The sequence below is a fragment of the Homo sapiens genome, chromosome 10 (assembly GCF_000001405.40).
Source record: "Homo sapiens chromosome 10, GRCh38.p14 Primary Assembly".
Lineage (NCBI taxonomy): Eukaryota > Metazoa > Chordata > Mammalia > Primates > Hominidae > Homo > Homo sapiens.
Genome location: NC_000010.11, coordinates 121,789,024 through 121,813,240, shown reverse-complemented (window position 1 = coordinate 121,813,240; position 24,217 = coordinate 121,789,024). Strand labels below are relative to the sequence as shown.

Below are 24,217 nucleotides of genomic sequence, written 5' to 3'. Positions count from 1 at the left end.
ATCCTCTGTTTCTAAGGTGGTGTCCTTAGGGTTGTGATGCAGAATTCAGAAGAGTGTTTGATGGACCATGTTTGTGTTGGGCTTGATTTCATATTTAGTGAGATAAATGGCTACATAAAAACATTGACTTAAAACTGACGTGAGCAGATGGTAGAGAATATTCTATTATTTCAAATTTTAAAATAGTGAAACAGATTAATAAGGTCTAGGTTTTCTTCCCTGAGAATTTTAACAAACAAGTATCAGTGACAAACAGAATGTTAGTTGTAGTGAAAGAGGTATACGACTGTCCTATCTAAGAAACAGAGGATGTCTCAGCTGTTTTGGCCTATATCAATGAAAACTGAGATCAAGGTGATGATAATGAGTTGATAGTTTTTTTGTTAGATAGCTAATCATTACTTTTGTGACCTGGAGCTATCCCAGTTTAACTTAATTTGAGCCATAATTTTTCTAGGGACTTGCTGCTTGCATGTTTAGCTACACGGAGTTTTGAACTTGATTTACAAATGAAATTATAGTGAAGGAGGGAAGAGAAGGGAAAGGCCATTGTTATAAAAAATCAGAAAATGTCTATGTTCTTTTTTTGCAAATTCTTCAATAACATTTTTATTAATTTTTTAGGGACCATAATAATAAGCAAAACATAACATCAGAAATGTAGAACTTACTTAAACTAACCAGCTGCACTTCTGTGAATTTCGAGGGAGGAAGAGTTTTTAAGTGCTGCCTGACTACCTTGATAGGCCAGGAATTGGAAGGACTTAAAGGGGGTCTTGGGAGAATAAGGACATCCTCCTCCTCCTTCTTCTCCCCACCCCCCATTTCTCCCTTTGTTGCCATTTATTGATTTTTTAAATTGTAAATTTTCTTCCCATCTGTTTTGGGTAAACAGGAAAGATGATATTTTTCCTGTGTGGTATTTGTGTGCCTCTGTTGTTATAGAGTCAACATACCGTGGCTACATATTTTAGTTAAGAATTTGGGCCAGGTGCAGTGGCTCATGCCTGTAATGTCAGCACTTTGGGAGGCCAAAGCAGGTGGATCGCCTGAGCTTACGAGTTCCAGACTAGCCTGGGCAACATGGCAAAACCCAGTCTCTACAAAAAATACAAAAATTAGTCAGGCGTGGTGTCTCATGCCTGTAGTCCCAGCTACATGGGAGGCTAAGGCAGGAGGATCACTTGAGCCCTGGAGGCAAAGGTTGTAGTGGGCTGAGATAGTGCCCACTATCAGTCTGGGTGACAGAGGGAGACCCTGTCTCAAAAAAAAAAAAAAAAAAAAAAAAAGAATTTGGAATAAGGTTCATAGAAGGGAAATTTCTGCCCTTTCCGTATTCAAGGTCTTATATTCCAGTATAGCACCACGTAGTTACATTGCCCCTAGCTCTCAAGGAAAACACTATGAGAGTGTGATAATAGTTTTTCATATTTTTTTGGATACAGGATTCTAGAAAAAAATGTAGAGACATAGTTAAGTAGTTTTATTGTCTTAATTTAGATTAAATCAGATAAATTCATTCCCAGGAGTTTTGCTGAATTCTTTTTTAGGGTCAGTTTAGTAGGATTGGTGAGTCTTGCATGAGGATCTGGTAAGCAGTTTTACTTGTTTTCCGAGCATGGGGAAAGGTATGGTTTTGTTAATCCAGGTCTGCTTTGGAAACGTCACATTCCCAGACATAGCCCAAGGCCTTCAGTTAGTATTCCAAGTAAGATAATAAAACCAGACAGCTTAGTTTCATATTGTGTTACAATTAATAGCCAAATATTCAAAAAGCCTTCCTTTTTGTTGAACTATTTATTTGTAAATATTTTCAGACTTTCAGAGAAGTTGGAAGGATAAAAATAGTACAAAGAATACCGGTACAGTGTACTCTTTTGTCAGATTTACCTATTGGTAGTATTTTACCCCATTTGCTATATCTGTTGTCATTTTTTTCTCCCTCTTTTCTCCCCCTCTCTCTCCCTGTTTATATACAGATATGTGAATGTATGTTTATATACTTACACATATGCATGCATATTATTTTTTGAACCAGTGGTCCTTTACTCCAGAATACTTTAATTTGTATTTGCCAAGAATGGAGAAATTATCTTATAAATCACATTACAGTTATCAATTTCAGTAAATTTAACAGCAATACAATACTTTATATACTGTTTGTATTCCAGTTTTGTCATTCGACCCATAATGTCCTTTATAACATCAAATGGCAAACTTTATTTTAAAAAATTTGTTTTGGCTGGGCGTGATGGCTCACACGTGTAATTCCACCACTTTGGGAGGCTGAGGTTTGTGGATCTCGAGGTCAGGAGTTCGAGACCAGCCTGGCCAATATGGTGAAACCCCGTCTCTATTAAAAATACAAAAATTAGCTGGGCATGTTGGCATGCACTTGTAGTCCCAGCTGCTCAGGAGGCCGAGACAGGAGAATTGCTTGAATCCTGGAGGTGGAGATTGCAGTGGGCAGAGATTGCACCACTGCACTCCAGCCTGGGCGACACAGTGAGACTCTGTCTCAACAAAAACAAAAAAAAATTTGTTTTAAGTTAGAGTTATATACTAAATGGAGAGATTTTGATTTTGATAGGAGGAAGGTATTGATGTTTCAGTCATACTAGTCATATGTAATATTCCAGAAGAACTTTACTCTTAAAAATACATATTTAGTGGCCGGGCGCGGTGTCTCACGCCTGTAATCCTGTCACTTTGGGAGGCTGAGGCGGGCAGATCACAAGGTCAGGGTATCGAGACCATCCTGGCTAACACGGTGAAACCCCGTCTCTACTAAAAATACAAAAAATTAGCCAGGCATGGTGGCAGTCACCTGTAGTCCCAGCTACTTGAGAGGCTGAGGCAGAAGAATGGCGTGAACCTGGGAGGCAGAGCTTGCAGTGAGCCAAGATTGTGCCACTGCACTCCAGCCTGGGTGACAGAGTGAGACTCCATCTCAAAAAAACAAACAAACAAACAAAAAACATATTTAGCAGTTACCCCGAAAGGCTGAAGAACTTTGAATAGGATTTTTATATCACATGACAGAAAACCAAATAATTTACACATGCTTATTAAGCAAAGGAATAGATATTTAAAGAAAGTATAAAAATTGTTCTGCAGTAAACCTTGTTTTATCCAAAATACGGGCCATACATTCGTAGCAGAGTTGTTCTTTTCAGAATGTCCAGAGCTCTTTTGTGGTTCTTACTGGTTAATTGGACATCACTGGTTCAGCCTTCAGTAAACCTTCCTCACCTGGGCAGAGTGGAGATGTTCAGTGTTGATCTTTCTTGGCATTTCACTGTTGACCACTAACCTCTGGGTGCATTGTTTTTTTTTTTGTTTTGTTTTGTTTTGTTTTTTGTGGCTTTCCAAATTGCACACACTCCTGGTTTCCCTCACGATTCTCTGACTGCACTTTTTCATCTTCACCAGCCCTTCTTCTGTTTGCCCCTTGAATGTTGAATGTCCCAGTCTCTTCCACCTCATTGCATAACTTTTTTTCTTGATGTGTAAGTCCCTAAGTGCCTTTTGGATGTCCAGGACATCAAAACTATCTTTTTAATAATACTGTGTTATTTGCCCTTTTCCCTGTTGACATTTGCATTAATTATACAAAAGCAACTGTGATGGAAAACTGCTAGCGTCTTAGCACGAATCAAGGCATGGAAACATACCAGTAGCTGCGGTGCACTCGCAGTAAAAATAATGCCAGTTTTACTTAAGAATGTTCTTGATGAAACAATAAAGATTATTTAATTATAAGTACATGTGTTTTTTCCCCCATATTCAGTGTGATGAAATGGGTAGTATATGTAAAGTGCTTGTGCTGCATCCCAAAGTACAAAAGCTGTCTCAGGAAAAACACTCGTGTAGCTGAGTTGTATGCTAAACTGTAAACCAGCTGCTCTTGTCATTGGGTGCTTTTTTTTTTTTACTTGAAAAAACAACTGACTTGGTTATTCAGACCTGGCTATTTGAGAGACATTTTCTCAAAACGAATGTAGCAAACTTGTCACTTCAAGGAAAACAGCTGACACTGTTTGTTGCCAGTGATAAAATTCAAGCTGTCAAGTAAAAATGACAGTTTTGGAAAACTTGTGTTCATCACTATGGACCTAATCGTTTCTAGTACTTAAAGAATTCTCTGATGAGATCAGTGGTGATGCTAGAAAACATGATTGATAATTGGCCATTGAAACATGTCAACATTTGGGAGATCTGCCTAACTCAGTGAATCAGTACTTTCAAAATAACTGATGTATTATGTTACAGATCATAAATGGGTGAAAAATCAAAGTGCAAGATACATCAAAAGAGTTTAGTATTCTATAGAGTAGAAAAAGTTCAGAGATACGACTTTGGATTTCACATTGGGAATAACCTTTAAGAAATTACTTGTGGAAACTGCTAGTGCGATTTTGGTGTAGTATCAAAGATTACTCACAGTTACATGAAAAGGCTGCTAAGTACTGCTTCCTTTCCCAACCGTATCATATATTTGTATGAATTTTCCCACACACATAGTGTAATGGGCATTTTTTATTAATTCACCACTGTTAGCCCTGTTCACTTAAAATAAGGTGGCTTTTGCTATAAATTATTCTATAATATTTATAGTTGAAGATATCAAGCAAGTTGTGATTAATAGGTCTAACAAGTGGATATTGCCGGATAGTTTACAACCTTTAATCTTTGCATATGAGTGGAGTTTGAGAATGTGTGCTCAGATGCTTCCACGGTTGCCACTGAAGAGTTAAATCACGAGCTATATTAATTTGCCTCACTCTTCCAGTCCTCCTCGATCCTGGGATCTTGCTGTCGAACCCCATCTTCTGTTAGTGTTCCTGTTGCTTGAGCTGTAACCTGCTGTTGCTGTCTACTTCATGGACTGCTTTTCATTGTTTCCTGGAACCCTCTCTAAATCTTGCCCAGCTTGATATGTGTACTTTCCATATCTGGTCATCCAAAGTCCGGATTCTTTGTCACAGATCAAACCCTGATTTTGACAGTGGGTTTAAAAACATGGCTGTTTTATATATTTAATTTGAGAAACATTCGTACATCTACAAATTCACAGTAATAGAGGAGTTTTAAATAAATCCTTATTGAAATATACTATACGTGTAGAAAGGTTTACAGATGTGTAGATCCCCACAAATACCACAAGATAAACAGACCCTTGAGCCCCCAATTGTCTCCTGGAAATCGGCATTTCTCTCTCTCCCTCTGGCAATTACATTTTTTTACAGTAAGAGTCGGCAAACTTTTTCTGTAGGGGGCCAGATAGTAAATACTTCAGGCTCTGCAGCCACAGGCAGTGTGTGAACAAATGGGCATAGCTGTGTTCCAGTGAAACTTTCTCTATGGACATTGAAATTTTAATGTCATGTAATTTTCACATCACAAAGTGTTCTTTTGATATGTTTTCAACCATTGAAAAATGTAAAACCCATTTTTAGTTTGTGGGCCATAATAAACAAGCAGCAGACCAAATTTGGCCCATGGGCCATAGCTTGCTGACCCCCACTTTACAGTATGCCACTCACCCACTCTTTTGCTTACTCTGCTGCTAGTTCAGCCTATACAATAAGTTAACATCTAAATTAATTTATTGAATATCTAAATTAATAAATAGTCTAAGTCAGTGTCATCACGTGCATCATCTAGTGCATTATAGCCATTCTCCTCCAATCACAAAGATCAGCTATAATATAAGTACAGTTTGCTATGTGAAGTTCAATAATAAAGTTGCCCTGGTGTCTCTAGAACATGTATTACCAAACTGGGATACAAATGTTAAAATGGACTCCTACTTACATAAATGAAACTTATACTCTATGAAGTAATAAACCGTGAGTTCTTCCATGTGATTTACAAACTAAATGTAATGGCGATTGTTTGATTACCTTTGGTTACTCTTCCTTTCTTTTTGAATTTAACTTCTCAGATTCTTAGCCAATGTTCAATCATTCTAAATTTAAAGGATTATATAGTGTAGTTTTTCAGTCAGGAAATAACTCTGTTGTGAGTGCTTTGAAGTATTGCTAAAAGTCTTTATTGTCACCTGCGTGATATCTTGGGAAAGCAAATATTTAATTCAGCTAGCTTTTACTGAGGCCTGCTCTGTGTGAGGTACTTGGAGGACCTGCCTTAAGTCACTCTTTTGGTACTGATGACTTAGACATAGGCCCTGTCTTCAGGGAGCTCTTGGAGAGGATCAACATTAGAAAAATATCTTGCACGGTCAAACTGGTAAGTTCTAGAAAAAAGGAACAAAATTCTGTGGGAGCACAAATGCATGCTGGTAGGAGGGAAGAGAGGAGTATGTATTCATTGAATCTGACTTTTTCTCCTAAATTTTAAAAATGTCAAACCTGCAGAAAACTTGAAAGAACAGCATAATGAACACCCGTGTACGTTCACCTGAAGTCACCAGTTAACAACATCTGGCACATTGCTTTATCTTTGTATGTGTTGCATACTTAATAAGTGTATGTAGGTGTGTATTTTCTCTGCTAAACCATTTAAAGTAGGTTTCAAACATCAAGACATTTCACCCCCAAGTACATCAGCTTGGATCTGAGAACAAGGATATTCTCACACCTAACTGCAACATCATTGTCATTCTCAAGAGATTCTAATATTCTTACAGTAATATCATCAAATAGATAGTTCATGTTGAAATTTTCCAGTTGTCCTGATAGTGTATTTTATTCTTTCCCCCCCTCAATCCTGGGTTTAATCAAGGATTATGTATTTCATTTGTTATGGGTTTTTTGGGGGTGGGGGAGTCAGGGTCTCACTCGGTCACCCAGACTAAAGTACAGTGGTGTGAATACAGCTAACTGCAGGGTCAACTTCCCAGGCTCAAGTGATCTTCCCACTTCAGCCCCTCAAGTAGCTGGGAGTGCAGGCATGCTCCATCACATCTGGCTAATTTTTATATTTTTTGGTGGAGACAGGGTTTCACCATGTTGGCCAGATTGGTCTCGAACTCCTGAGCTTAAGCCATCCACCCACCCTGGCCTCCCAAGATACTAGGATTTACAGGCATAAGCCACTGCGTCCAACCTGCTATGGTTTTTTAAAGTATCATTTGAGTTTCCTTTTTATGGTTTCATGACATCAACAGTTTTGAAGAGTTTAGTCTCCTGTAATTTGAATTTGTCTGGTTGTTTCTTTATAATTTTATTAAGTTTACTCACTTTTGCGGGAATACTACCCATGTGATGCTGTGTCAGTCTCAGGACATCACATTAGGAGTCCCTTACTGTCATTTTGTCCAAGTATTGGTGATAGTAAGTTTGCTCACTTGGTTAAGGTGACATCTACCAGACTCTCCACTGTAAAGCTGCTTTTTTCCTTTGACTTACTAAATGTATAATATAAATAGTCATATAGTGGTCTGCGGGGCTAGACTTGGAGACTGAATATCTTGTTGCCCACAATCTTTTGCCAGTGGTAGGTTCTTTTTGTTTTTGACAGTTTCTTGCAAACGTTAAGGATTTTAAAAACATTCTGTGATTCCAATTGTTTGTAAATATTTAAAATATAAATATGTATGCATTCTTTTAATGAAAAGCTGCTGACAGTTGAACTGTAAATACATTTCTTTATACAATTTAAACATTTTAAAGTATTAGTACCATTTTAGCAGAGTTAAGATCTCGTTCTCAGACACGAGAGCTGCGTTCAAATCTTGATTTTATGCTTTATTGTATGTATGTACAGCCATTATAAGACTCAATCTCTTTATCTGTAAAATAGGGATAATCACCACCACTCCTTATGGGATAATTGTGGAGATTAATGAGGTAGCTCATGTAAAGCAGTTAGGATAGTGCTCAGCTTATAGTAACTACTCAATAAATACTAGCTTATTGTTGCTTCAATTAATACCAAAATTGACTTAATTATATATTAGTATAATCTTTACTAAAAGTTAGTAACTTCAAGTTGTAGAAAGAAAAAATTAAACGTTTGTTTATTATTTTATTCAAATTTCATGCTCATAGTACATTTGGTTTATTCTAGATTTTTATATGCCCTACAATTACAGCTAGATATTTTTGCTAAAAGTACTTTGGAAGGGTTACTTTTAATTGTCTTGTGTGATTCTTTGCAGTCATAGTGTAAGTGCTTCCTGCTGTTATTGCGGAAAGAGAAGACTCAGATGCTTGTAAATCATACACTTCCCAAAGACTAAAGTTAACTGGTACAGGCTTTACATATTTATTTAGCGATAGATTTTCATATCTGTTGCTCACAAACACACAGTGGAGTCTGCAGAGAGTTAAAACTCCCTTAATAAATAGTCTCTGTGAAGATAAAAAGAAGTTAGTAAGCATGGAGGCTATCATAAACTGCTATGGTTGTGTTGGAAGCTCTCAGGAGACAATTGAGCTCCCACTGGCCAAAATGTGGACAGTTTGAGCTTCAAAAGGATAACAGTAGTAGATTCAAACACATTATATATCTTCAGACTTACGAGCTTATAGTGCAAAAAAAAAAAAAAAAAGTTGCTAGAATGTGTGCTGCGTACCACATTGTATTACTCAGACACTCATCACCAGAAGCTGATAGCTCAACAGCTGATGGATCACCAGCCTGTGCTCAACAGCTTCCAAACATACTCAATGCTCCAAACATTTACGCCCAAAAGTATAATCATCTCTATGACTAATACCATAATTTCAGGCTCTCCGTAATAGTAACTTGTCAAAATTATACTTTTCCCACATCTGGAAGTTGTAGATTTCAGCTTCAATTTTATTAAACTATTTTCAGAGAGTTCTGATGTGGTAAACTGATAATTATGCTATTTCGGTATCTCTAAATTGTTATTGTTTGGTGATGATTGGCTCCTTAAAATTTTAAGGACATACATTTTTGGTGTAAAGTCCAAGATAGGTGCCATTGTAGAAGAACTTTATTTTAATGGTATAGTCATTGAATGAAGAACTAAGGGTTCTCAAGTTATCATTCAAAATTCCCTGGTGTTTGTAACATAATACTTTCTCCACAATAATTTAAAATTCTGTGAAATTGACTTGACTTTCTCACCTGTAAATAACTATGTTTAAGTTAAAAATGGTCATGTTTATCATGGTTACATGACTGATCATTTTTAGAAAGGGAGGAAATAATCTTGAACTTGCTACTAAAGTGTAGGCACTACACAAAAGCTGTTACATTAACTTTCTACCAAGTCCTTCCTTGCAGAAACACACAGAATACTGATGGCATCCAAGGGGACAGGATGTAAATTCTACCAGAACCCCTACTGCTGCACAGTGGAGGGAGGAAAGGTTATCCTTAAACTTGAAGCATTTAAGTCATTTGTGATGAATTTTCCATCAGGCCGAAAAAAAGGAATGATTACCAAAGATTACACCCCTGGGATAAATATGAGGTTAAAGCTAACTTCTTATTCCCCTCAGGGGTGTAATTAAACAGACCTTTATGATTAAGGCTTTCAGGCACTGAAAAATGTTTTCTGTTTTCATATTCTGGAAAAAATCATGGCTCCAGATAGAGATATGATTAGTTAGAGACAGCTTACTGACTTTATTAAAGCCGTGTATTTGTAGGAAACTGTTTTTTAGCATTGTTTGATTCAGGGCATATACATTTTAAAAAGAATGTTGAAAAATAAAACCAATTTGTTTCTGAGGGGACAGATCCTAAATGATTCTAATTAGGCAGATCTTTATAAACAGGAACATAGGACATTGCTGACACAATTTAGGTGTTCATACTTATTTCTGATTTTAGGTTGGGAATTTTAACAGAAAAAGAATATTAAGATTGTGGTTCTAATCTTGGTTTTGCCAGTAATTAGCCTTGATCAAGTCACTTAACTTTTCTATATCCCTCCCTCCTCCTTTTAAAACATATTTAAATGCAACTAGGGAAGTCTGAGGTCCAATTTTAAGATTCTGTGGTTCTCTCTTTTTAAGAAATACGATTGGACAGAAATCAGCTTAACTGAATAAGTATTTATTGAGAATTCGGTCCATACAAGGAATTCTTCATATGCATAGGGAACGTAAAGAAATTGATGTACTCCCAGCTCTTAGGAAACTCCAAGTTTGAATTTTAGGTCAGGGGGTGGAAGGGGAGGGGTGATGTAAAAATAAGAGAAACACAGCATATAAGCAGACAACTCCAATAGATTGTATTAAGTTCTAGAATAGGCCTCTGTGGAAATCTAGATATCTCCTAAAGACGTCAACGCTGACCCTTCCAATCTAAATTAGATTTCCCCATTGTATTGGTATGCTTTTTCTTCATAGCATTTATCATACTTTGTAATAACATTTCTGTATGATTATTTCCTTAAAGTTTGTCTCCCCTTTTGGACTAGAAAGTCCCTGAGAACTGAACCTGGCAGTGCTGTTGTTCACCATGGCATGCCCAGGACCTTGCTAAGGACCATGCTTAAGTCCTTAGTATGGAACGTGGAAGACGGTAGGCATTTAATAATGAGTCATTGAATGCAGGACTGGCAGCACAGGGGATGGTTCAGCCTGGGGATGGGAGCAGTGGGTGGTGAGGTGAAGCAGAGTCGAAGGAAAGCTTGGTAAAGTAAGAGTAGGCAGTTTTTAGGTTGGGTCTCAAAAACGGAGTAGGGGCCAGGTGCGGTGGCTCACGCCTGTAATCCCAGCACTTTGGGAGACTGAGGCCAGCAGATCACCTCAGGTCTTGAGTTCGAGAGTAGCCTGGTCAACATGGTGAAACCCTGTCTCTACTAAAAATATAAAAATTAGCCAGACGTGGTGGTGGGCGCCTGTAATCCCAGCAACTCGGGAGGCTGAGGCAGGAGAATCACTTGAACCTAGGAGGCGGAGGTTGCAGTGGGCCAAGATGGTGCCACTGCACTCCAACCTGGGCAACAGTGCAAGATTCTCTTAAAAAAAAAAAAAAGTGGAGTAGACATTGAGACCAAATGGGTAGCCTTGCCAGGCAGAAGATAGCCTGTGAGTACCCCGGGGTGAGTGAGTTAAAGGTAAGAAAGTAGACTGAAAGCAAATCTTGTGCCATGGACTCAGATACATGGTACAGGTTATCTCTCGACTGGAGAGCTTTGGCAAAAGGGCTGTGAATCCATTTGCACGCAGTGGATATAGACTAAGGGCACACACTTGTGAGTATAGTACTATTATTATTTTACAAACACAGATTCTATTGGGATTTGTAATATCCAGACTCATTTAAGAGCATTCATGAATTTTTAGTGATTTATCTCATTGTAATTTCTCATCAACTGTAACTAAAATTACAAAAGGCCCATGTTTTTTTTTTTTTTTAACTTTAAAAAGGGATCTTCCTACTTTCCTTATAGATATTGGAGAGCCAGTAAGAGGTTTTAAGTAGGGAACTTACATGATCAGTTCTCTCTAGCAGGAGTAGGAGGATGGATGAATTCAAAGGAGAAAACTTGGAGTCAGCCCCCTCACTCTTGTCTAGGTGAGGGTGGCCTCAGCTAGGGTAATGGCAGAACCAGTGATTCTAAGTGCTGTTTTCCAAGAAAGAGCCTTAAAAAAGCAAATAAACACCTAAATTGGTTCTTCTTACAAACATGGTGAATGCCAAATTTATATATAGACACATATATGAATATTCATATGCATATTTAATCTTTAACAGAAACTAAAGAGGCTTAGAGTTTTTCTTTCTCTCTTTATATTATCTTCTTTGTCTTCATCTTTCATTCTATGTCTTATTTTAAAAATCCTTTTCAACTTACGACCCTTCAGTTTGAAATTAAATTTGGGCCGTAAGTTGACTCCTTGAATCTTTGCTTCACAAGGTTTCTTTGTCTTTTTTAGAAGAAAAAAGATTAACTCAGGGTTTCCAAAATAAAAGCAAAGATTGTGATTAAAACTGAATTAGAATCTTGATTCTCTGTTATTTGCTAATAGTAAAATAAATAGCTCAGTCTTAAAGAAGCTTTAAAGTAAGTCCCGGAGCCTTTGAGAACGCTTGGATTTTAATTAAAGAAATACAGAATACCGTCACTTTCTGTTTGTCAGTGGAAAAAATATGTATTTTTAAATTTTCAAAGCTTAGCCTAGCAGCACATGGAGTACATCTGTTGGCTTTCAGAATTTGGGGAACACAAATGGATTCAGATGTTTAGGTCCTTTGTCTTTACTGGTCTCAGCTCACCTCGCCAACTGAGCATGGCACAATCCAAACACAGTTTTTGAAAACAGAGCAGCTAGAGTTACTTCTAAAGCACTCTCTTGGGGACTGATAAAGTCAATCTCTGTTTATGTAATGAAATCAGGGAGCAAGGGGTCTGCTGTAGTACTTTGTGGATGGGATTCCACTGGTGTTGTCTTTCAGGGGAAAGACTGGGTTTAATAAGCCTTTATTCTTACTCATTTTCTCTGGGGGTACAGCCCACTCTAATGAATTATTTTGAACTACTTTTGTTTATGTACTGTTAGAGCATCTCTTTAAGCAGTCGGTTTTAGTACAATCAATAGATTTATTGTAGAAAATTGGGATACTAGTGTCAACTTTACATGATAAAAGACTTAAACTTTATCTAGTTAATTTTTTTGTTGTTGTTCAGTGCTACTAATGTTCAGTGGCTGTGTGTGTGTGTATTTAAATAATATTGTCTTTTTGGTGTACTTACATTTTAATTTAACTTGAACTTTCAAAATAGACTGCTGGTTTAGCCTCTTTTCAAATATAAAATCCTTCCTATTCTTCAAAATATTTATAAAGTATTCTTGAGAGTGAAATCTCATAAAGATCTTTGGTGCAGGACCAGAGTTCAAAGGAAAGTTCGTTTGGTTTTGATTTGAAAACTGTAAAAACAAAGTGCCATCAAAATGGCAGGGCGTGAATTGGTAACTTCAATTTTATTGCAATCGGCCAAGCCCATCCCCAGATGTTTCCAATTAAAAGCCAAGAATGCTAACTTGGTTGAATATCATATGAAAGTATTTCTTTTCTGATTTTTTTTGTCTGAGAAAAATAACAAAGTCTCAAATGCTTTAACTCTAATTAAAGAAATAATTTCTCATTTGCATGTTTAAACTTAAAAAATAGTATAATATTTAAAGAGAATTCTTACATGTCACATTAGTAAACCTGTGTAGTTCTGAATACATAGGGCTTCACATCCGTCTTCTTATAAAGGCCAAAGGAAAAAGAAAGATTTTTAAAAAGATGTTAAAGCCCTTTAAAATTAAAATCACATATTTCTGGATTTACTATCGTAATCAAAGAGTGGACCTTTTAACACAGGATTTGTTTAAAAAGGGGTTGTTAGTAACTTCAGTGCATTTTTCAGTATTGTTATAGGGAATTTTCCATTATAATGTAAATAATAGGTTTTTCTTTTATTTCTGATGAATTGTATATTCAATTGTAAGAAGTACTTCTGTGGAAATCTAGGAAGATAGGAAGATGTAATCAGATAAAAGAAACCATAATGTAATTTAAAAACCATGAGTTTTATAATATTTCTCCAGCTAATACCAAGACACTTACTGGCAATAAATTTGAATTTATGGAAATTGGCATTTGTTCAGAGAGAAGATGGAGTTACTCTTTATAACTAATCTAACGTTAACATTTTGGATATAAATTTAAGTTTGAAGCTTCCTGAAACTGTAGACACAGGACCACATGCTAGCTGCAAAGATGAAACAGTTGTTTCTCATTTCATCTCCTGTTTGGTGAAATTTTGATGGACAGGTATTTGAGAGCTCAGGAGGGAGACAGCTGTATGGGTCTTGGATCTGTATTTGCTATTGGTGAGTGCCTGTTTTTTTTTTTGTTTTCCTAAACATGGTGCTACTTGGCCTGTAAGACATATTGCAGGAGGGACCTGTTCTGAGGAAGCTCCAGCTGCTGCTTCAGAGAAAGCTGATTCTTTCACCTGTGCATTCTACCACAGCTTGTTGACAGCTCTTGTTGCTGTCCTCAGTATTGCTGGCTGCTCCAGCTCCTTCGTGCTTCTGTAGCAGCCTGTGCCCACCACCCGTTCTTGATCATGGCTGTGAACGTTATTGGGGCCAACTGCCTCCTCTTCCCCAGCAGAGAATGAGCACCTCACAAGGCTTTTTTCGTCTTTTCCTCCTTGATGTCAAGCGGAGTCCCTGTGTATATTGAACTGAGTTGTGATTTTTAAGGTTTTCGGAAGTTATTTTGAAAATACATTTAAAAATTGTGCTTTTGTTTTTTTAAGGTTTAGGCAGGAAATGAGAATAGGAATAGAGTCTAGCTCTCAGTTCATCACTACTATTTTATCATCTTATTGTTTTATCTATACAGTAGAAGTAATGTCTGTCTTCATTACCTTTTTTTTTTTTTTTCTTGAGACAGAGTCTTACTCTGTCACCCAGGCTGGAATGCAGTGGCACGATCTTGGCTCACTACAAACTCCACCTTCTGGGTTCAGGTGATCCTCCTGCCTTAGCCTCCTGAGTAGCTGGGACCACAGGCGTGTGTCACCACGCCCAACAATTTTTGTATTTTTAGTAGAGAAGGGGTTTCACCATGTTGGTCAGGCTGATCTCGAATTCCTGACCTCAAGTAATCCACCCATTTCTGCCTCCCAAAGTGCTGGGATTACAGGCGTGAGCCACTGCACCCGGCCTGTCTTCATTACTTTTTAAAGTTATTGTGAGATTTAACTCAGACAATGTGCAGAATTATTATGAGGACTATGTTCTTAACAAATACAGAGAGAAGTAATTATTGTCTTTGTTGTTACCCACCAAAGTGGCATTGTTCAACTCTCCTAACAGATGAAGAGGCCCTTTCAGAAGTTGCCTTTCCTTCTCTTTTTTAAAGTGAAAATTAATATGAAAAGCTGTACATCTCTTTTGAGATAAATTTATTTCATTGGCATATACTTTCAATTCAAAAAAACTTTAAATTGACATGAGCCAGTAGTTTCTAACCTTCTTGAGTATGAAAACCCCCTTTTTAATTTCAGTAACTCTTATAGCCCCTGTCTTGATTATGTCCTTGTAATTCTAGCATTTGGTGATAATTCACTGAATTCCCAAAGGTTGAGAACTATTCTTATATAATAAGAACATGTGGGAGCCACATCATAAATACAAATTCAGCAAATACTGCTTCATGCATGCCATGTTAATGAGCAAGGCAGAAGGTGTTAAAGTAATGTCCACTGTTTAGAAAGTGGAAGTAGAAATGGTATAGGTGGAGTGTACTATGGTCGTTGTTCATTCACCCAGTAGTTATTTACTGGGCAGGTTTTGGAACACATTAGTGATCAAGTTAGACTAAAATCCCTGACTCTACATTCTAACAAGTAGTTTTCTATAGATATAAATAAATAAGGAAATTAACAAGACGGTTAGACAGTGATAAGCCCCATGGAAGTAAAACGGTAGGGAGGATAGGTGGGCTTCATTGAGAATGTGACGTTGAGCAAAAACTTAAAGTAGCTGTGACCAGAAGAGAGAACAGTCAGTGAGAATCTCTGAGGTGGGAGCAGGCCTAGCATGTGCAAGGGACCGCAAGGAAGCCAGTGTGGCGAAGGTGACATGATGGAGGAGGATAAAGCGGTAGACGACCAGTCTGAAGGGTAACATGGGCCGTGCCACTCAGGGCCTTATAGGCTGTGCCATGTCTTCGTATTTTTTTTTTTTTTTTACTCCCACTCAAATAGGAAGTGTGGTATGTGAGGAAATATTCTATTTTTAAATGGATAGTCAGCACAATAATGGTTGCTAGGGGCTAGGGGGCAAGGGGATGTGGAGTGACTGCTAATGGGTACTGGGTTTCTTTGGGGATGATGAAAATGTTTTGGAATCTGATAGTGGTGATGCTTGTACAACCTTATGAAAACAAAAAGTGCTGAATTGTACAATTTAAAAGGGTGAATTTAATGGTATATGAATTACATCAATGAAAACATTGCAAAAAAATGGATCACTAGGGCTTGCTGGAAACATTTTTTGCTCCTCCTCTGTATCAGTTTATAACTTTCGCCTTTGAAAATTCAGATTTCTAACTAGTTACAGTTTAACTGAGGGAAAGTCTCTTAGTGTTGTTTGCTGTGTTTTAATTAGAAGTAAAAGACGTTCGTCGACTTTAAAGTATCTCTGCTGAAATTATTACTAATTGTGAAATCCAATTTTTCCACGTACATATGTCCTTTTATACTTGTGTTCATTGTTATCCAGTAAGATATGATAGTGAGATAACTTTTAACCTCTGGCTATCAAAATGATTTTAATTTTTAGGCTGAATTCTGTTACATTTTGTTAAACTAAGATATTTTCCATGTATTTATTTTGCGATTCTTTTATAGGGTAAGAAATTGGATCAATATGATAATGCTCTTCAAATTATAGGCTAAAGCATGCAAGTGAGAAGAATGCCTTTGTTCATTCCATTAACCAAAAACCAAAAGTATATGATCTCCTCTTCCAGAAGACACAGTCTTTTTTAATAGAAATAGAGCAGGAAGTGCATTTAGCTAGGGTGTTTTTCTTCTCCTTTCAATGTTTTAGATTTAACTTTGGCATTTCCTAGATTTTCATTCTATGACAACCTAGTAAAATTAATTGAAATATTATGAGGCCATATTTTAATTTTTTTAATTGAGTCTTACAAGTAGTCTAAGTGGTTTTCATCAAAGAAAAAGACCATTGAATATTACAGCTCTACTTTGTGTAAAACATTAACTCTTCTGTGGTAACTGAAAATATAGACGTGCATAGGTAGTTTGTTTCATTTTGTTTTTGAGTTTTGTTTTCCAGTTCTAAAACAGTTTGTAAATAGTTGCAGAAGTTAAAATCGTTTGGTGAAGTCAGGAATCATAGGATTTGCTGAACTTTTCCCTTTGACGGCTTTGAACTGAGTGATGATCCCTCACCAAAAAAATGTTTAATTAATAATAAAAAGTAAGCATCCTTTCTCTATGTTTAGTATTTTTAAACGTTATTTTTTAACTTTTTCAGGCATCTTATCTTGAACTATGTTATCCTCTGTGGTAGCCTTCCCTCTTGAAATAGGTGCCCTTGCTTGGTAAGATTTCCTTTTGTTCTTGTTGGACGGCTGAATTTCTGAGGACTTGCAAAGGATGTCTAGCAGTCATCTTCTAAAATTGTGGATTGAAAGAACTCTCCAAAAAACTGTGAGAGAAGCCCTGTCAGACCAATTACATTTTCAAAATTTTGAGTACTTAGAAAATCTGTGGTAACTCATTTCTTCTTATTTACAAAAAGTCAGCACCCTAGGAAAGAATTAATCTGCTTTTACCTCTTTGTTCCAATCTGAATGAATGTACTTAGAGGTTGATTAAATATTTTTTCTTCTGACCATGGGAAACTATGTCCAAATCCTTAAGTAATTACATTCTTCATACAAACATTTCTCATTTTCTTATACTAGCTGAAGAGGCAGGGTAGCTTTCAACCCCCTGTGTTTTCGTTTGTGTGATGGTGACTTTGAATTGAGCTTTAAGCACTTTGGTCATTTAACTCTCGACCAGCTTAGTTTAGAAAGCATAACATTTCAAAGTGGTTTATTTCATAAATCTCAATTCTTTGACGGCTTGTGAGAATATCTGAAACACTGAAATGAGCCTGTACTTAGAAGAAAAATAATGTTTTAACCTAGTCTAAAAACGTGATTTCAGATGATGAGCAGAAGTTAAAATGTATGCATTTATGGTCTTCGAGTGAGATAAACTGAGTATTTAAAGAGTTAAAAAGTGAAATATCATTGTATGAGCAGGTGTTACCTTCTTAGAGCACTGTGAAAATTTAGAAACTTGGGACAGTTGTACACTGTCATATTTTTTATGTTTTATGCATACTTCATCTTTATCCAGCTTTATCACTCCCAGTAGGTTGTGAATTATCGAGAGGCATGCATTTGTTCATCTTTTTGTTCCAGCCTTTAGTGCCTGTTACATAGTGAGGATTTATGTAATGTTCATTGACTAAATATTCTTTTTTTAAAAAATTTTTATTTTTATTTTTTTTGAGACAGAGACTCACTCCATTGCCCAGGCTGGAGTGCAGAGGTGCGATCTTGGCTCACTGTAACCTCTGCTTCCGGGGCTCAAGCGATTGTTGTGCCTCAGCCTCCAGAGGAGCTGGGATTATAGGCACGTATCACCATGCCCGGCTAACTTTTATATTTTTAGTAGAGATGGGGTTTCGCCATGTTGGCCAGGCTGGTCTCAAACTCTTGGCCTCAAGTGATCTGCCTGCCTCGGCCTCCCACGGTACTGGGATTACAGGCATGAACTACCGCCCCCAGCCGACTAAATGTTCTTGATGGTCAGCATCGTTGTTAAATCTAGGCACTGGATTCAGGTGGCTGTTGATGAATCTGCGTATCCGCAAGGTTTATGTTATGAAGGAAAACAGGCTCTGTTTTAACCTTAAGGACTCAAAAGTTGATGTCCGATCACCCCCATCTCCACCCTCGATATTTGTCCTGTGCTTTTTTTGCCAGTGAGCATTCAGTTCCACCTTATATTAGAAAATGGGGCCATTCGTATGTTTAAGGTCTTATGTTGTTTTTTGAGATGATACATATGTTCTTTTTTTTTTTTTTTTTTTTACCAGACATTCTTGGTATTCTCTTCTCCTTTTTTTTTTTTTTTTTTTTTTTGGAGACAGGGTCTTTGTCACCTGATCTGGAGTGCAGTGACACAATCACTGCTGACTATTGCCTCTACCCTCTACCCTCCTGGGCTCAAGAGATATTCCCACCTCAGCCTCCCAAATAGCTGGGACTATAGGTGTGCACCACCATGCCCAGCTAATTAAAAAATTTTTTTGTAGAGATGGGGTCTCACTGTGTTGCCCAGCCTGGGTATTCTCTTCTTTTATGTTCTGCTGTCACAAAGATCAAGATATGCTATTCCATTTTTATTAGTGTTTCCTTATTCATGTTGGTAATATTTTTGTACCAAATTCAGAATCCTAGAACAATTAAGTAAAATGAGCCAGAAAATTCTACAAATGAAGAGTGATGAGGGGGAATTAAATCTCCAAGATGTTAAAATATAATATAAAGCTTTAATAGTTAAAACTATGTGGTACTGGTACTTGATAAGACAGGTCAGTATAACAGGATACGTAGAAAGTCTTGAAAGAGATTTCCCTATATATGGGAATTCAGTAAGTTACCAAATTAGCAGGGGAAATGAAGATTGTTTTAAAAATGATGCTGAGGTCACTGAATAAACATTTGAAAGAAATTAAGTTGGATTCTTTTTGTATACCTTATATCACAATAAATTCCAGATGGAGCATAAATGTAAATGTAATATTATGAAACCATGAAAGTACTAGAAAAAATATGAAAGTATGCTTTCATAACCTTGAAAGTGAGGGTGGCCGTCTTAATTATTGTGTAAACCCAGAGCCCATTTTTAAAAATTATCGATTTGACCACACATCAGATTTTCATATGGCGTAAGAGTATGGCATAGAAAGTCAGAAGATATATAAACTTGGAAAAGATTTGTGACATATTTTACAAACCAAGGGCTTAATATATAAAGAGTTCTTAATATATAAAGAATTGTTTAATAAGGAAAGGCCAGCAATTTAACAATAAAATGGGCCAACTTTATGAAAAAGAAAAATGCAAATTCCTCTAAATATATGAAGATACATAATGCTAATTAAAACCACATGAAATGTCATTTTTTAGAACAGCAAAGATGGAAAGTTTTGGTAGTATACTATCTTGGTAAGGATGTGAGGGAAATCAACTTGGGAGCATAATGTTGCTGATGAGAATGTAAAATGGCACAACTTCTGTGGAAAGTCATTTGACACTATAAAAGTTAAAACCCTTTTACCCAACATTCCCAGTTGAAGGAATTTATCCTAGGCATATTCACAAATGATATGTACAAGAATATTTATATTTTATCAAGTGTTTCACCATTTTAAACCAACAATATGTAAGTTCTAATTAGTCCAAATCCTTACCAAAACTTGTTTCTTCCGTCTTTTTAAAATTTAGCCATTCTAGTGGACATGCAGTGATAATGATAATTTGTTATGGTTTTAATTTGCATTTCTGGTAACTGACAACGTTGAACATCTCTTCACATGCTTATTAGGCATTCATATATCTTTGGTGAAGTGCTTAAGTGATTTGCCTTTTTTAAAAAAATGCATTGTGTTCTTATTATTGAGTTGTTATAATTCTTTATATATTCCGGATACAAGTCTGTTTTTAAATATATGTTTTGTCAAAATTTTCTCCCAGTTTTTGGCTTTCCTATTTATTTTCCTAGTAGTTTTTTTGAAGATAATTTTGAGGAAGTATAGTTCATCAGTTTTCTTCCTCTATGGTTGGTTCATTTTGTTTACAAAAGAAAACTTCTATACTCCCAGGTCAAGAAAATTTAGTCCTTTTTTTTCCCCAGAAGTTTTATATCTTTAGCTTTTATATTTAGCCTTTTTTCCGTCAGATTTGCAAAGTGATCTATCACCAAGAAGGAAAAAACAGACTTAGAAGCACAGCTTTAGGATGCTGTCTAGTTTTCTGATTCATGTCCTTTCCCCCAGTAAAACAGTTTCTGAGTTAATGGAGATAATGCCATTGTTTTTGATAAGATAGATAGCAGTGAAATATCTGGCTTTATTACACTTCCTAAGTAAATCCTCAATTCATTCCTAATTCTGTGTTTGAATATTATTAGATGCGTCTGTAGACCACCTGGAGCTGCCCGTGGTAGATGGCCTTCTACTGCTGTAGGGCAGTGAGGCAGCAACAGTGCAGTGAACCAGCAACAGTGCAGTGAGCACTCCAGGAAAGCTGAGTCAGAGACCTGACTTCTGGTCTTCACCCTGTTATCTGCTCCTATTGGAATAGAACAAAACTCTCCCTCTTATCCAACAAGCCTTCCCATTTCATCTAGAAGAAAATTCCAAACATCTGACTGCTGCCCAGAATGTCCCCCAGAATCTGATCCATCCCACTGTTCCATCGCTGTGGTGCCCTGCCATTTCCTGTTCCTTGGAGTTTTCTACTTGGCCCAACTCTGTGTCTTTGTTTATGCCGTTCCCTTTATCTAGATTGTTCTCATTTCTTTTCATCCTACCCTAGGCTTAATTCAGTCAGTCTTAAGTCCTCAATAAAACCCCATATCCTCCTTGAACCCTCTCCCAGCCACTCAAACAGGAAAGAATGTTTCCTCACATTTTGTGGATGTATAGCCTCTCTTTTTGGCTTCCAGACTTCTGAATGCTTTGCGAGCTAATAGGACGTGGTGTTCATTTTGTATCTATGCTTCATATGGTGACTCACACAGCACCTGGTATAGAGCCTTTCCGTCGAACAGAATCACTGCCGAGCTCTTAGGCTGTATTCTTTGTAATGAGTTTTGCACTGGTGTTTTTCAAACTCTATGGTGTAACTCATTTGTTGCTTGTAAAAGCAGTTTTGGTGGTTCATGAGCAGCATTTTTTGAAAAATGAAATAAAATAGACTAGAACATAACATCGGTAAGCATTGTATACTAAAAGGTTTGTTTCTGGTTTTATGTTTGCAAATATGTTTACTAGGCTGTGATATAGAATGTATTTTGTACTATGGGTTGTAGTAAAAAACAATTGAAAAACACTATACTAGATTTTAACCTCTATAATAAGTTTTAAAATTTAGAAGCGAGACACTTGGAATTTTAAATAAGCTCAAAGAATACAAAACCTTGATAGTTATGAAAATTTTCACAAAATGTTTTCAAATAATTTGTACCATCTTCATTATCCCCATTAAGTGAATGATTTTTTTTCTTTAGCATCTATTGTATAGTCTTTGTGTTAGATTTGAGGTGTATAATTGGATTATAAAAATATAAATTGGCCAGGCACGGTGGCTCATGCCTGTAATCCCAGCACTTTGGGAGGCTGAGGTGGGCGGATCACCTGAGGTCAGGAGTTTGAGACCAGCCTGGCCAGCATGGTGAAACCCCCTCTCTACCAAAAATACAAACATTAGCATGGCGTGGTGGCATACACCAGTAACCCCAGCTACTTGGGAGGCTGAGACAGGAGAATCACTTGAAAACAGGAAGCAGATGTTGCAGTGAGCCAAGATTGCACCACTGCACTCCAGCCTGGGTGACAGAGCAAGAATCTATCTCAAAAAAAAAAAAAAATATATATACACACACACACACACACACACACACACACACACGTATACATATATATACACATATATACATATATACACACATGTATACATATATACACATATATGTATGTATACACACATATATGTACACACACATATATATATACACATATATATGTACACATAAAATTTTTAAATGGAATTTTAAGTGGGATTTTTGAAGAAAGTTCAGTGGATTATCAGATGTTTCCCTGAAACTTGTTTCTTAAACTTCTCTTTATTATACGTTTATCAGTTTAGATTGCTTATAGAAGTATATTGATAAAACAGTACTTTCTACTACATTAGAGAAGAATGAATATTATCAACTGAGTCTACAAATCACAAATTAAAAAATTTGTCATTAAGGATAGTGAAATTCCATGTTGAAAAATAAGTTCACTTTATACAGTGCTCTAATACATGAAAAGAAACTTCTCTTTGTTAATTAACTAGTATTTGAAAGACAATTTTGAAACTGGTTATTCTCAAGTCAGCTCAGCAAGAATCACATTGAATATTTCTTCCAAAAGGGAGTAAAAACTCGAATTTTCCAAATCAACACAGGCATCCTAAGTCGTGGTGTTTAACTTTCAGAGAGCCTTGAGTCAAACGTGCTTTCATGAGATGGGAAAACTATCAGCTACAGGGTTGCTTAGTATTTACAGTAAAACAGTTTCTGGTTGACTTTTAAGTTTTTGCTTTAAACCTTTCCTAGAGCCCTCATCCCTTTATCTCTGGCATTGCTGTGTTAATAATGCCTGTGCCTTTTTCCTTCACTTTTCTTCAGGGTCAGTATAGACCTTCTGATTTGCTGTGCCCTGAGACATATGTTTGGGTACCCATTGAGCAATGCCTGCCTTCACTTGAAAACTCCAAGTACTGCCGTTTCAACCAGGACCCAGAAGCAGGTATGTTTGGAGCTGAGCTCAGCTGGAAATCATTGGCTTTGTTTTTATGATCCATGTGTGTGTGGCTGTGGCTCTTAACAGGGTCCAGGTAGCTTTGTATATTATAGAGTATGCTGTGCATGAGTGTGTGTGTGTGTGTAAGATAGAGGAAGACTTTGCACATGCACACAAACTCACGCAGTTTGGCACAAAATTAAGAAACCTCACGTGCTCGTGCACTTACTGACCTAGCTTCTCCCATTAGATTAGTTTTTATATGCTTTGAGGGGCTGATATCAATATCCATATCTTTTCCAACTATCACGGTGCCTAAAAATTGTCTGCTAGATGGATTATTTAGTCAATGTAGAGAAGATGGAAATATTGACCAACTGGACCGAATAAAGTTGTAGGATGGTTTCATGGAGGCAAACAGACTGTAATGGATTTTGTGACAATACTTTTTTTACTTTCTACTTGTATCTCTGGCGTACCCTTCCAGTATAGTCCCAGCCATATTTTGTTCCCCATTGTTCCCCTTTGGATGTTCTGTGTACTAAGAGTATATACAGACATTGAAAGTATATCCCTGGCTGGGTGCCGTGGCTCACACCTATAATCCCAGCACTTTGGGAGGCTGAGGCAGGCAGATCACGTGAGGTCAGGAGTTCGAGACCAGCCTGGCCAACATGGTGAAACCTCCTCTCTACTAAAAATACAAAAACTGGCTGGGCATGATGATGGGTGCCTGTTATCTCAGCTAGTCAGGAGGCTGAGGCAGGAGAATCGCTTGAACCTGGGAGGTGGAGGTTTCAGTGAGCTGAGATTACGCCATTGCACTTCAGCCTGGGCGACAGTGTAAGACTCTGTCTCAAAAAAAAAAAAAAAAAAAAGCATAGCCCTGGAGTTAGGCTTCCTGGATTCAGATCCTGGCTTCATGATCAGCTGGTAAACTGTATGCCCTTAGGCAATTTAATAATCTCCCTTGTCTCAGATTTCTCACTTTTAAAATGGAGGTAATAATAGGACCTACTAGCTGTAATGAGGATTAAAATGAGATAAACATGCTAAGAACAGCCCCCTATTACTGTTTTTTGGTGGTCACTAGCCAAATTAGAATGCTGCATCCTATATATGCCACAGGCTTTTGTCTGCATTTACTTTTA

General features: G+C 37.0%; 1 protein-coding gene across 35 annotated transcripts in view; it reads left to right on the top strand.

Moving 5' to 3' along the window:
- The window catches only part of ATE1 (arginyltransferase 1), a 188,040-nt gene that overhangs the window by 115,223 nt on the left and 48,600 nt on the right, over positions 1–24,217 (top strand). For all 35 annotated transcript variants that reach the window (NR_110006.2, NM_001439381.1, NM_001439374.1 and 32 more), the window contains one exon: positions 22,952–23,072. Coding sequence is in view for 34 of the 35 variants with exons in the window: in NM_001439381.1 (NP_001426310.1) it covers positions 22,952–23,072 (121 nt within the window). In the remaining variant the exon portion in view is untranslated. The remainder of the gene's footprint in view (positions 1–22,951; positions 23,073–24,217) is intronic.